Genomic DNA, 14,622 nt, shown 5'->3' on the forward strand with positions numbered 1-14,622 from the left:
CAATTGGGATTTGTCTGATATTTTCCTCGTAAGTGGGCTGGGGTGGTAGGTTTGGGGGAGGAAGACCACAGAGGTAACACACCTTCTCATCACATCGCAGCAAGGGCGTAGACCACCCACCTGACTCATAGCTGCTGGTGACCCTGGTCACTGGCTGAAGTGTGTCTGCCAAGCTCCACTCAGCAAAGCCACTCTTTCCGTGCCTGCCCCGTGCCCCCATACCATACTTATTGGGAATAAGTCACCATGGGCAGCTCACACTTAAGGAGCTGGGAATCAGACTCCACTCAGGCAGGGCTTTTTTCACTTTGTTGCCATGCATCTAGATTTTTTTAAAAAGAGTATCGATTTTTAAATTATAGTAAAAATTTTAAAATGCATCAATTTTTAATTTTTAAAATTTTAAATTAAATTGTAATGAAACTTATCAATATTTTCTTTTGCAGTGTTTTGATTGTTTGGATCCTGGCTAGAGGAGCTGAGGTAATAAAATAATTTTAGTCTCTATAGTTTCACTTTTTACATTTAAATTTTTGATCCATTTGGAACGGATCCTGGTGTGCCCGGTGTGAAGTCCGGGCTCACTGCTTTCTGTATGGCTACCATTTGTTCCAATACCATTTACTGAAAATTCCATCTTCCCGTGTTTCACTGACTTAAGGAGCCACTTTAATCATATACTAAATTATCATAGATCTATTTGGGTCTATTTCTGGGCCTTCTATTTTGTTCCTTAAATCTGCCTCTCTAGGAGCTCCTGCCACACGTTCAGTTCTCAAGGCTTTAGGGTCTATTTTAATATCCGGGAGGATTAGAATATCCCTTCACTGTTTTTCCTGTTCAGTTTCCTGGCTCTTCTTATTTTTTCATGTGAAATTTAGAAACCATCTTAGGAAGCTCTGAGGATGAGGGAATCAGTTGGTGGATTTGCTGGAATGTTAAAATTATAAATTAACTTTGGGCATAATGACAGTTTTATATTATTAAGTTTTCCTACTTAAATCTATGACATGCCCCTCTGTTCTTATTCTTTTTTTTTTTTTTTTTTTTTTGAGACGGAGCTTCGCTCTTGTCACCCAGCCTGGAGTGCAGTGGCATGATCTCAGCTCACTGCAATCTCCGCCTCCTGGTTTCAACCGATTCTCTTGCCTCAGCCTCCCAAGTAGCTGGGATTATGGGTGCCTGCTACCAAGCCCAGCTAATTTTTGTATTTCTAGTAGAGACGGGGTTTCACCATGTTGGCCAGGCTGGTCTCGAACTCTTGACCTCAGGTGATCTGCCTGGCTCGCCTCCCAAAGTGCTGGGATTACAGGCGTGACCTACCACACCCAGCCTCTTCTTTTTTCTTCTCCTTCTCCTCTTTTCTTCCTTCTCCTTCCTTCTTCTTCTCCTCCTCCTCTCCTTCCTTCTCCTCTTCTTCTGTCTTAAGGGGTTTTAAATTTTTCCTTAAATATTGAATATTCTTATTATGTTTATTCTTGGCATTTAATCTTTTTGCTGCAATCATAAATGGGGTTGTGTATAAAGCTTCTAACAGGTTACTGTGTTGCTATGAAGATTAGTGATATTTTTACCTTAATTTTACACCCTGCTGCAATGCCAAATTCTCTTATTGTCTGCAGCTTTTTCAGCAATTCTCTTGAGTTTTCCAGATCTCTTGGGTTTTTCAGCAAATCTCTTGGGTTTTCTCAAATAGTTTACTCCTTTCTGATTTTTACTTCTATGCTGTTAAAAATGGTTCTCTTTAATTTTTCAGCTTTAAAGGGTATTTTCTGATTCATTTAAAGTCCCAACTGCTACAGATAAGCTCATCTGAGAACTCTTTCCACTTCCCACCTTCTTTCCCTCCTTCTCCTCTCAATTTTACTTACATGAATCTTTTATATATTATCGGAACACATCATATTTAAACTCTATTCTGACATCCTCACCCACAGTTAAATATATTTGATGCTCACCCCAGTGCTGGTACCAAAGTTTCCCCATGTCTCTTGGTTGCTTGGGTTTGGGTCTCCAGCAGTTTCTCATAAATGGCTCATGGAACATTTCCTGAGCTCTCCAAAGATTTACAACTTTTTTTTGTTGCCCAGACTGGAGTGTAGTGGCATGATCTTGGCTCACTGCAACCTCCACCTCCCAGACTAAAGTGATTCTCCTGCCTCAGTCTCCCGAGTAGCTGGGATTACAGGCACCCGCCACCACGCCCAGCTAATTTTTGTATTTTTACTAGAGATGGGGTTTCACCATGTTGGCCAGGCTGGTCTCAAACTCCTGACCTCAAGTGATCCACCCGCCTCGGCCTCCTAAAGTGCTGAGATTACAGGCGTGAGCCACTGCACCCGGCTAGATTTACAACTTTTTATCTGTAGCCTTTAAACTTGAAGGACAGCTTGGCTGCAAATGAAATCCTTGGCTTGTTCTTTCTTTCCCTTATTTTCTTGCAGATGTTACTCTAGCGTATCCTGGAATTGAATGTGGCTGTGGAAAAGTCAGACACCAGCTTAACTGCTTTCCCTCTAAAGTGACTCTTTTTTTTTTTTTTTTTGGCCTGGATGCCTATAGGATTCTTTTGTTTCCATAGTCAATCAGTAACTTCACTGGGTGTGTCTCAGCATTACACATTTTCCCCCTGGAGCACACATCAGCTGTCCCTGGGACCCAATGTGTCCTTTCAAGATGCAGATTATAAAGTCTTTTTAAAAGTTCAGGACATTTTCCTTGAATTATATTTCAAAAAGTGAAGCATCACCATACCATGAAAAGTGGGGTCTGTCAAACTCAATCCTGTGAGATGTGCACTCACATAGGTGGAAGATCAGTGGAGCAGCTGAGGGGGCTGCAGAGCCACCTGACTGGGAATTCTGGGGCCATCCAGCAGCTCGGCCAATCAGTACCAGTCTGGCAGCAGTCTGGTGCCACCTGGTTCAAATATCACTTCTGGACCCTGTGTCTAACTAACTGGACAGTGGCAGGGACTCTAGGATGCCCTGAGCTGCTGGCAGCCGTTTTACTGGCCTGACCTGGGAAGGCTGGGCTGGGAGAACACTGGGAATGTGGTGCCTCCACTTCCTCACATCATCTTCTCCTCCCCGAGTCCCCTCCACTGACACTCATTTGAAGACAGGTTATGAACAGGAAACAGGAACCAATGCCAACCACAGGACAGCCAAATTCACCTCATTGCAGGAAATTATGGAAATGTTTTCATCATTCTGGTTTCCTTCTTTGATGCCTCCCATTATACATGTGTTGTATCTTCTTTGCTTGCCTCCTGTAGGTTTCACTTACTCTGAAACTTAAAAACTCATTATTGAGTTCTCTTTCCCATCTTGCAAGATGGTGAGAAGTTGGATACTGAGGAGAAGAAACCCGAAGCCAAGAAGGCTGATGCTGGTGGCAAGGTGAAAAGGGGGAACCTCAAAGCTAAAAAGCCCAAGGGGGAAGCCCCATTGAAGCTGAAATCCCATCCTTGTCAGAGGAATTGGCAGATATTCCCAATCTGCTACATATTCCAGAAAGGCCGTGTACAAGAGGAAGTACTCAGCTGCTAAATCCAAGGTTGAAAAGAAAAAGGAGGAGAAGGTTCTTGCAACTGTTACAAACAGTTGGTGGTGACAAGAATGGTGGTACCCGGCTGGTTCAACTTCACAAAATGCCTAGATATTCTCCTACTGAAGACATGCCTTGGAAGCTATTGAGCCATGGCAAAAACCCCTTCAGCCAGCATGGGAGAAAATTGTAAGCCAGCATCACCCCTGGGACCTTCTGATCATCCTCACTGGACACCACAGAGGCAAGAGGGCGGTTCTCCTGAAGAGCTGGGCAGTGGCTGTTACTTGTGTCTGGACCTCTGGTCCTCAGTTGAGGACACACCAGAAATTTGCCATTGCCACCTCAACCAAAATTGGTATCAGCAATGTGAAAATCCCAATACATCTTACTGATGCTTAATTCAAGCAGCAGCAGCTGCAGAACCCCAGACACCAGAAAGGTGAGCTCTTCGACACACAAACAGAGAAGTACAAGATTACAGGGCAGCGCAAGGTTGATCATCAAAAAGCTGTGGACTCACAAATTTTACTGAGTATCAAAGCTATTCCTCAGCTCCAGGGCTACCTGAGATCTGTGTTTGCCCTGATGAGTGGAGTTTATCCCTCACAAACTGGTGTTCTAAATTTCTTAAGAACCTAATAAAGGATATATAAAAATAAAATAACTATTTTTTGAATTTCGTATACTTTTCCCCCTTCTGCCTCTGGTGTCCCTTACCGTGTCTTCTGCTGTATCCATGGCCCTCTGTGTTCATTCAGCTATGCATCCATTTCTGGGATGGTTTTATTATTTTTCATGAATAATTCCAGCTCATGGTTAATTCTCTCCAGTAATTTAGCCACTTAGCCATCTCTTCCATAAATCTGTGTATTTTAGCCATGTAGTTTCCTTCTTAGTGCTGATTGTTTCATTAAGTTTTTTTTAAAAAATCACAGCAGGATATCAATTTTTTTTTCCTAGTATTCTTTATGTTATGGTAAAAATAACTTCTCTTTCCTGTATTTTTTGCTTATAGCAGCTTCATATTGATGTTTTGTTGTTAAACATAACTAAATGAGCTGAATTTTCCCATACTGGAGATTTGTAGCAGGTGGGAAAGGGATTACATTAGCCTTCTAGAAGCAACTCAAAGGCTCTGCCTCTCCTGCCAAGGCAATTGACTTCATTCTTCGTCCCTCAGTGGGATTCTCTGGTTAACCACGCCTCCTCTGCCTCTCCCCCATGGTCAAAGAGCATTTCTGCCACCTTCCCTGTTCCTGGATGCCTTACAGATTGCAGGTGCAATCCCTCCAGGAGACATATTTTGCCTGGCACTTTCTAAGACCTGACAACACCAAGCACTCCCTCCTCCAGCACATTCTCTCTATATTATCTCAGGCCCAGCTTTCACCTGACCCAGCCCTGTCTAAGCTAAGACTAGCTCAGATACTCCCTTTCCTTTTGCACTTCAAGATGGACTTCTGATCTTCAGGGAGTGCATGCCACTGACTTTTTCTGCAGCCTGTGGCTCCTTGGCCCTCTCTGGAGTCCCCTACACCACTCCTGGCCACTGCTCATTGCACCATTGGCTTGCTGCCCAGCCCTGACCTCTGCTGCCTCTGACGACACTAACACTTCTTGCCCAGTCTGCCGATGCTCTGCTCATGTCTGAAATCCACAAAATGAAGAAAAAAATTCTTGTTGCTATTAGTTTATAGGGGATGCAGGGGGAGTCTCAGTTCTAAGTAGCTGCTCTGTTCCTTCTGGAAGCTCAGCCAAGTCTTTTTGCCCTGTGGGATCAACTGGCTTCATTCTGATAGACGTGTGTTCAAAACTGTGTTCTGCAGATTTTGTCAAATTTGCCTTTTACAATTCTGCTGTTAGGTTGGTGCAAAGTAATTGCACAATTACTTTTGCACCAAATGCATATCCCAAACGATGTTGCTATGGTACACTTAAGTTCGTGACTGTTAAATTATCTTGATGGATGTACCTTTAGTATTTACATTAATATGTCTTTTTCATTCCTTTCAACCTTTCTGGTGTTGTTTATTTAGGTATGCCTCTGACAAACAGCACACAACTGGATTGTGTTGTTTTTAAGCCTGTTTTCATTTCTCTAAAAGTAGGAAGATTTCATTTGCATTTATTATGGTTACTGAGTTATTTGGACTTATTTCCTCTACTTTATTTGTATTTTCAGTGTATCCTTTTTCATTTCCTACTTCTTGGGAAAAAAAAGCTCCACATTCACTTTTTTTTTCCTCTGCTGATTTAGAAATTATAGGTGGCATTACATTTTTTTCACTGATTAGCCTAAATGTTTTGAGCATATGTTTCTAACTATACACTTTTCTAATAAAGGCTGGAGTTAATATTTCTATTCTTCTTCCCCAAATTACACTGCTCCTGGCATGTTCTAACTCCCTCTAAAACATCACCTCCAACCAATTTATTGTTTCCTAGAATTTTCCTTTTATCTGCTTTGTAAAACAAAACTGGATTTTTTTTTTCAGTCTACACTTAAATACATCTACCTATAATTTAACAGTCTATACACTCGGTTGTTTCTTATACCCACTGGCTGTCTCTGGCTTCATCTATCTTCTGGCAAAAGCACAGTTCTTTTAAGGATGGTCTGTGGGTGATAAAACCCTTAGTCTTCCTATGTGTAAAATGTCTTTCTTTTGCCCTTGCTCTTGAAAAACAACTTAACTGAGCTTCCAGAAGGAACAGAGCAGCTACTTAGAACTGAGACTCCCCCTGCATCCCCTATAAACTAATAGCAACAAGAATTTTTTTCTTCATTTTGTGGATTTCAGACATGAGCAGAGCATCGGCAGACTGGGCAAGAAGTGTTAGTGTCGTCAGAGGCAGCAGAGGTCAGGGCTGGGCAGCAAGCCAATGGTGCAATGAGCAGTGGCCAGGAGTGGTGTAGGGGACTCCAGAGAGGGCCAAGGAGCCACAGGCTGCAGAAAAAGTCAGTGGCATGCACTCCCTGAAGATCAGAAGTCCATCTTGAAGTGCAAAAGGAAAGGGAGTATCTGAGCTAGTCTTAGCTTAGACAGGGCTGGGTCAGGTTGGCAGCAACTTTCCCTCGGCAGTCTGCAGATATTTATTGCTCTGTGGTCATCTGCCTGAGGCTGCTGGAGGCCCCCGGCACATCTGTCATTCCGCTGTTTTTGCCCTGGTAGTTTTTTATGATTTTTCTCTTTATCTTTGACATGAATCTCTAGCCTCCTAGATTTGCTTTTATTAATCCCACCTGAGAGATGGAGTCTACTTTTGACTTAAAAACTCACACTGATGCTCTTCAATCCTGGGACATTCTTCAGCTTTGCTTCTCCACCTGCCCTGTCACCCTACACCGACTCCCTCCTGCTGAAAGCCCCATGAGGTGAAAGCGAGGTTTCCCCACTTGTTTTCTGTCCCTGCCTGCTCCTATTTTTTCTTTTACATGTTTGCATCTCTGTGCTCCATGCACGGTATCCTATTCAAAAGCACTAATTATCTCTGTTCCTGCCGTCTAGTAAGCTTTTCAAATGTCATCTCATCGCCATGTTTGTCATCATCAAATTCTCGAATTTTTATGTTCATCTAAATGTTTTATATCCTTGGTTTTTGTGCTTCGTTATTCCTTATTTCTAGACATTACTCCTTTCTTTGTGGATCTTAAATACACTTATTTAAAAGCTGTTGCTAGAGTATTTAGCACAATTCACTTCATCTGGAATAAATTCATGTTCGAAATGTTGATTTCATTGATCGCCAGCCTTGGCATGAGATCTCGCATATGTTAGAATTCTGTCGAGACTTACCTGGGCACAATTTCTTTTTGTTTTTTTGTTTTTTGTTTTTTTGATACGGAATCTCGCTCGGTCACCCAGGCTGTAGTGCAGTGGCACCATCTCAGCTCACTGCAAGCTCCACCTCCCGGGTTCACACCATTCTCCTGCCTCAGCCTCCTGAGTAGCTGGGACTACAGGCACCCGCCACCAGGCCTGGCTAATTTTTTGTATTTTGAGTAGAGACAGGGTTTCACCGTGTTAGCCAGGATGGTCTCAATCTCCTGACCTCGTGATCCGCCCACCTCGGCCTCCCGAAGTGCTGGGCACAATTTCTTTCTTTTTCTCTCCCTCACGCTTACCCTTCCCTTTCAGCAAGTTTGCAGTTGCCTCAGCGCTGGCCACTTCCCTAGGTCTGGCTGTGGCCCGGACCAGCAGAGAAGCCTGGTCAACTTGTCTCTTACCCAAGGAATTCTTGGAACCCGCTGCCCTGTGTGAGCTGCCCACCCTCAGGGTCACCCTTGCTCAATTCCGAACCAAGGGTGTGGGTCCCTGGCTGCCGTGTTTTAGGGACACAGCAACGTTCAGCTCCATCATTATCCTCTCTCTCTCCACTGTATCTGGGGTTGCTGTGGGTTTGAAACGGAGAGGTCCATTCACGTGAACCCAGAGTCTTCCTGATGGACGGGGTGCTTGGATGGAGTTCAAGAGGGGGAGTGACTTAGTTATTTCTGAATTTTGGAAAGATCATTTGCAGGGCGAATAGACAGGGAGGAAGCCATCCAGGGGCAGGGAGACGGGCCAGGGTCCACTGCAGTAGCCCCGGGCAGATATGAGACAGGAAGGAGGGCTGGGCACAGGGCCGAAACGTGTGTGTAACAGGGCTTGCTCAGAGAGGTGCGGGGCTGGGACCTTGCTCCGACTGCCCTTTGCAGGGCGTGTACTGATTTGAGGGCAGCCAGACTCATTCAGATGCTAGCTGAGGCCAGGACAATGGCTGGCCCCAGAGAGGGCTGCAGCTCTGTCCTAAGGCAGGCTGTAGGCCCTGGGACAGGAGGGAGCAGACAGCGCCCTGGGTCGGGAGCCAGAAGCCCAGGTTCTGTCTGAAGTTAGCATGCAGCTCCGTGACCGTACATGTGGTTTCCCTCTGAGCCTCAGCTTCCTCGTCTGTAAAATGAACCTTGTAATTCCTGCCCCCCGCTACTGTGCAGCCGCCGTGACGACAGGGGGAGAAGGAAGGGGAAGCACAGTCAACCGTGAGACTCAGTGGTGATCAGAGTGGGGTGATGGCCACCGCCCTGCAGTGGACACTGCTACCTCACATCCCTGAGAGAAGGGGAAGCACAGTCAGCCGTGAGACTCAGTGGCGATCAGCGTGGGGTGATGGCCACCGCCCTGCAGTGGACACTGCCACCTCACATCCCTGAGCTTCCACTGCCCATCACCTTGACACCTGTAGGTACATACATGTCACGCGTTTTAGAGCATTGCAGATGTGAGGAGCCTGCTAGGAAGCATGTCCGTGCCGCAACCTCACCCTTACTGTGAGAAACCCCAGGGCAGCTGAGGCAGCCTGGGAACCTCAGTCTGACAGTGGCCCCGCCCACCCCCAGCCTCCGCCTCTGCTCCGAGTTGCTTCCTGGGTCCCCATTCTCTATGTATTGCTGTAGGTGCCATTTTCTGTTATGGCTGAAATCAGGAGGCATCTGAAGGATGGCAGAAAGGCTGGGGATGTGAGGTCACGGCCCGGCTGGCTCAAGCTGAGTTGCAGCTACAACCTTGGGCAAGGTGCTGTGAGCCTGTGGTTTGTAAATCCTAAAGGGGACACGATCCCACCTCTGTGTGCTTGTGTGGGGTGAACAGGCCAGCCGTGTTCAGCGTCCCGCACGTGCCTGGTGCGGAGTGGGGCGTGGGATGTACACGGCCTGGGAGCCCTGGGCTTAGGATCATGAGAGACTTTGGCTTCCCTGTCTGTGACCTGGAAGGGCAGATAAGCAAGTGTCCTTAGGGCAGTCTCAGCCACACACAAAAGGACAGGCCCTTCAAGGAGGTTCTGGCCTTGGTCACGGGAAGGGCGGAACACAGCTAAGAGATGAGCGTTCATTACTTACATCTATCCTGATTCTGGGAAAAGGTTTTGTGGGGCATTTGCACAACACGCTGAAACAGACGGTAAACAAGGAAGAAAGGAGACAGGACAGCAAACCTAGGAAAGTAAGGTGAAGCCATGTCATAGGCCCTGACAATTATTAGAGGTGGGACACAGACTGGCCTGTGAGCTCCCTAGCTGCCACAGCAAAGAGGGATGCAGGGCCAGGAACACAATCCCACGGTCCACTGACCTGCTGGAATCTCTGGGAAGTACAGGGGCGCTGGGGGGGTGAGGCCAGCCTTGTGGCCCCCTGGGAAGGCTGGTAATGCGGCCCCTTTCACGCCCATAATGTTTATATGCAGGAAAAGCTGGGAGCTGTAAGTGGGAAAATCAGGGAAGGATGATAACCCAAAGTATCGGGCAGCCTCTTCACGACTGAGCGGTTCGGGTCCTGAGCAGTAGGTTCTGACCCCAAACCTGACCTCCACTCAGCCTGACCAAAGGCAGAGATGGCGTCTCCAGTGGCGAGGCTTCACGGCATAGACTGCAGACTCTGAGGCCAGAAGCTAGAGTGTGGCTCCCACCTCTGAGGATCAGTGCCTCTGGGCCTCAGCGTCCCCATCTGTACCATGGGCTAACAACAGTCCCTTCCTGTGGGGCCTGAAACTGACCCATGTTGAGCATGGACGGGCGGCAGCTAACACCCTCCTAGGTGGTCTTATCTCGTTCTGCTGTTCCCCACATGGGCCTTATGGGGTCTGAGAGCTACTGAAATATTTCTCCCCATGGTGCATGGGTCACTCTGGGACACTGCTGACTCGACGTCCCCTTCTGCTGCAGCCCCTGTTGCCATTTAGTGTGGCTCCAAGCAACCCCTGGGCTGGCCATCCCACATGTGCCCTGCTGAGGGCAAGTGCCACTTTCTGGGGAGCTGCAGCGACAGCGGAGTTGCCCAAACACCAATCATGTTTCTTCACAAAAATCCACACCCCTACTGGCTGACCTTGGCTCCTCCTGTGACGTTTCTGGGGGCAGCTACTGCTGTCCGGTTTCTAGGCTCTAACTCAGACACTTCACTGACAGGTTCAAGGTCCAGCAGTCTGTGCAGCACAGCTCTTCTTGGTATGCATGTATGTGTGTATGTATGTACATGAGATGGAGTCTTGCTCTGTCACCCAGGCTGGAGTGCAGTGGTGCAATCTTGGCTCACCGCAACCTCCGCCTCCCAGGTTCAAGCGATTCTCCTGCCTCAGCCTCCCAAGTAGCTGGGATTACAGCTGTGTGGCACCATGCCTGGCTCATTTTTTGTATTTTTGTAGAGACCAGGTTTCACCCTATTGACCAGGCTGGTCTTGAACTCCTGACCTCAGATGACCCGCCCACCTTGGCCTCCCAAAGTGCCAGGATTACAGGTGTGAGCCACTGCGCCTGGCCTTGGTCCTCTTTTAAAATAAACTTTAATAAGGATTTTTATCCCAGGACATGCTGTAATTGCAAGTTCTATCTATCTAAGTCATCGCATATGTTTACACTAATTATGTAATTAGATGTAATTATACTAATTGTATAAATGCACAATAATTGACTAAGATATATTAAATACTTTGAGAGAACAAAGAGAATCCACCCAGAATACCTTCCCCAATATTAAGGGTGCAGCTGAACCCCAAGAGAGGACAGAAGGGTCATCATGGGAGTCTTGGGCTGCCAGCCGAGCCAGGGCCTCACAGTGCACCTGCAGGTGCAGACACTGCCACAGAATGGAACGGACTTTCTTGAGACGATTAGGCCCAGGGCCACAGAGGAGACCTGGTTCACGCTGCAGCCTCACTTAGCAGCTCCTTGACTTCACTGGCTTTTTAGACATGTCGAAGGACAATAATCAAGTCATTCTTCTGCTCAAAGATATTCCGTGGCTCCCCATTACCTAAGAATAAAGCTCCACTTTGTCAGCCTGCATTCAGGCCCTCCAGGACCAGGTTCCCACGTCTGTCTTCACCCCCTACTGCAGTCCGAAAGCCCAGCTGACTGCTCTGGGTGTGTGGAATCCTTTCCCACTCGTGTGCTATTGCCTATGCAGTGCCCTCCAGCTGGTGAGCTACCCCTCTGCCTCCTGTTCTCTGCTGGATCCTGGCAACTCCTCTACCCCTGCAGACCATGCCCCTTCTCTCCAAAGCCTTCCTCAGTCCTTCCAGGAGGAAACAGCTCTCTCCCTTTGCCCTCATCTCCTGTAGCCCTTCATTTAGAATTCTCTCACGACACACGCATTTTTGAACCCGTTAGAGTCCTTGGTAGCCATCTCTGTCTTTACCCATGGAAGTGAGTTTTCCAAGGGCAAGGACCATGGCTGCCTGCATCCTGATGTCCCTAGCCTTTGGCACGGAGCCTGGCAGGGAGCAAACTCGAAGGCATGTTGAACAACTAAAGGAAAAAGTGAAGGGATGCACAACAGGTTTCCTTTGGTAATGACAGTACATTGATGGGGAGAATCGTTGGGAGCTGCAGGGGCCCAGGGGGTCCAGGGCGGGGTGCTGCAGTTGGGGACATGGTGGTCAGAAACCACTCCTGGGGGCCAACATGTCTCAACTCAATCTTGTGGAATGAAGGGCACAACAGGGAGGGAAAAGGGAACCGAGTCTGAGCTTGGTGGCTTACACTTATAATCCCAGCACTTTCGGAGGCTGAGGCAGGAGGATCACTTGAGGCTTGAGGCCAGGAACTCAAGACCAGCCTGGGCAACATGGAGAGACCCTGTGATATGGTTTGGTTGTGTCCCCATCCAAATCTCATCTTGAATTCCCACATATTATGGGAGGGACCTGGTGGGAGGTAATTGAATCATGGGGCGGGTCTTTCCTGTGCTGTTCTTGTGATAGTGAATGTCTCACGAGATCTGATGGGTGTAAAAATGGGAGTTTCCCTGCACAAGCTCTCTCTTTGCTTGCTGCCATCCATGTAAGATGTAACTTGCTCCTTCTTTCCTTCTGCCATGATTGTGAGGCTTCCCCAGCCATCTGGAACTGTGAGTTCTCCATTAAACCTCTTTCCTTTGTAAATTGTCCTGTCTCAGGTATGTCTTTATCAGCAGTGTAAAATGGACTAATACAGTAAATTGGTACCAGTAGAGTGGGATGTTGCTGAAAAGATACCCCAAAATGTGGAAGTGACTTTGGAACTGGGTAATAGGCAGAGGTTAGAACAGTTTGGAGGGCTCAGAAGAAGACAGAAAAATATGGAAAAGTTCAGAACTTACTAGAGATTTGTTAAATGGCTTTCACAAACATGCTGATAGTGAGATGAACAATAAGGTCAGGCTGAGGTGGTCTCAGATGGAGACAAGGAACTTGTTGGGAACTGGAGCAAAGGTGACTCTTGTTATGTTTTAGCAAAGAGACTGGCGGCATTTTGCCTCTGCTCTAGAGACTTGTGGAACTTTGAACTTGAGAGAGATGATTTAGGGTATCTGACAGAAAAAACTTCTAAGCAGCAAAGCATTTGAGAGGTGACTTGGGTGCTGTTAAAGGCATTCAGTTTTAAAAGGGGAAACAGAGCATAAAAGTTCAGAAAATGTGCAGCCTGACAATGCGATAGAAAAGAAAAATCCCATTTTCTGAGGAGAAATTCAAGCTGGCTGCAGAAATTTGCATAAGTAACGAGGAGTTACTTATGTTAATCACCAAGACAGTGGGGAAAATGTCTCCAGGGAATGTCAGAGACCTTTGCAGCAGCCCCTCCCATTGTAGGCCTAGAGGTTTAGGAGGAAAAAATGTTTTCTTAGGCTGGGCCCAGGGTCCCTCTGCTGTGTGCAGTCTAGGGACTTAGTGCCCTGTGTCCCAGCCACTCCAGCCATGACTAAAAGGGGCCAAGGTACCCCTCAGCCTGTTGCTTCAGAGGGTGGAAGCACAAGCCTCGGCAGCTTCCACATGGTGTTGAGTCTGCAGGTGCAGAGAAGTCAAGAATTGAGGTTTTGGAACCTCTGCCTAGATTTCACAAGATGTATGGAAATGCTTGGATATACAGGCAGAAGTTTGCTGCAGGGGCAGAGCCCTCATGGAGAATCTCTGCTAGGGCAGTGCAGAAGGGAAATGTGCAGTTGGAGCCCCTACACGGAGTCTCTACTGGGGCACTGGCTAGTGGAGCTATGAGAAGAGGGCCACTGTCCTCTGGACACCAGAATGATAGATCCACCAACAGCTCGTACTGTGCACCTGGAAAAGCTGCAGACACTCAACACCAGCCGGTGAAAGCAACCAGGAGGGAGGCTATACCCTGCAAAGCCACAGCAGCAGAGCTGCTCAAGGCTGTGGAAGCCCAGCTCTTGAATCAGCATGACCTGGATCTGAGACAGGGAGTCAAAGGAGATAATTTTGGAGCTTTAAGGTTTAACTGCCCCACCAGATTTCGGACTTGCATGGGGCCTGTAGCCCCTTTGTTTTGGCCAATTTCTCCCATTTGGAATGGCTGTATTTACCCAATGCCTGTACCCTCATTGTATTTAGGAAGTAACTAATTTGCTTTGATTTTACAGGCTCATAGGTGGAAGGGACTTGCCTTGTCTCGGATGAGACTTTGGACTGTGGACTTTTGAGGTTAATGTTGAAATGAGTTAAGACTTTGAGGGACTGTTGGGAAGGCATGATTGGTTTTGAAATATGAAGACATGAGATGTGGAAGGAGCCAGGGGTGAAATGATATGGTTTGGCTGTGTCCTCACCCAAATCTCATCTTGAATTCCCACATGTTGTAGGAGGGACCTGGTGGGAAGTAACTGAATTATGGCACGGGTCTTTCCCATGCTGTTCTCGTGATAGTGAATAGGTCTCACAAGATCTGATGTGTTTAAAAAACGGGAGCTTCCCTACACAAGCTCTCTCTTTGCCTGCCGCCATGTAAGATGTGACTTGCTCCTCATCTTCCGCCATGATTGTGAGGTTTCCCCAGCCATGTGGAACTGTGAGTTCTCCATTAAACCTCTTTCCTTTGTAAATTGCCCAGTCTTGGGTATGTCTTTATCAGCAGCATGAAAACGGACTAATACACCCTGTCTCTACAAAACATTAAAAAATTAGCCAGTAGTGGTAGTGCACACCTTGTAGTCCCAGCTACTTGGGAGGCTGAGGTGGGAGGATCACTTGAGCCCAGGAGGTTGAGGCTGCAGTGAGCTATGATGGTGCCAGTGCACACCAGCATGGCTCAAAGAGTCAGACTCTATCT

At 47.2% G+C, this 14,622-nt stretch overlaps 1 protein-coding gene and 1 pseudogene across 9 annotated transcripts in view; one reads left to right on the forward strand and one right to left on the reverse strand.

Moving 5' to 3' along the window:
- Positions 1-14,622, reverse strand: part of PHF21B (PHD finger protein 21B) — a 128,844-nt gene that overhangs the window by 17,094 nt on the left and 97,128 nt on the right. The gene's annotated exons all lie outside the window — the stretch shown is intronic.
- On the forward strand, positions 3,316-4,195 carry RPL6P28 (ribosomal protein L6 pseudogene 28; annotated as a pseudogene).

This window comes from Homo sapiens, chromosome 22 (assembly GCF_000001405.40).
Source record: "Homo sapiens chromosome 22, GRCh38.p14 Primary Assembly".
Taxonomy (NCBI): domain Eukaryota; kingdom Metazoa; phylum Chordata; class Mammalia; order Primates; family Hominidae; genus Homo; species Homo sapiens.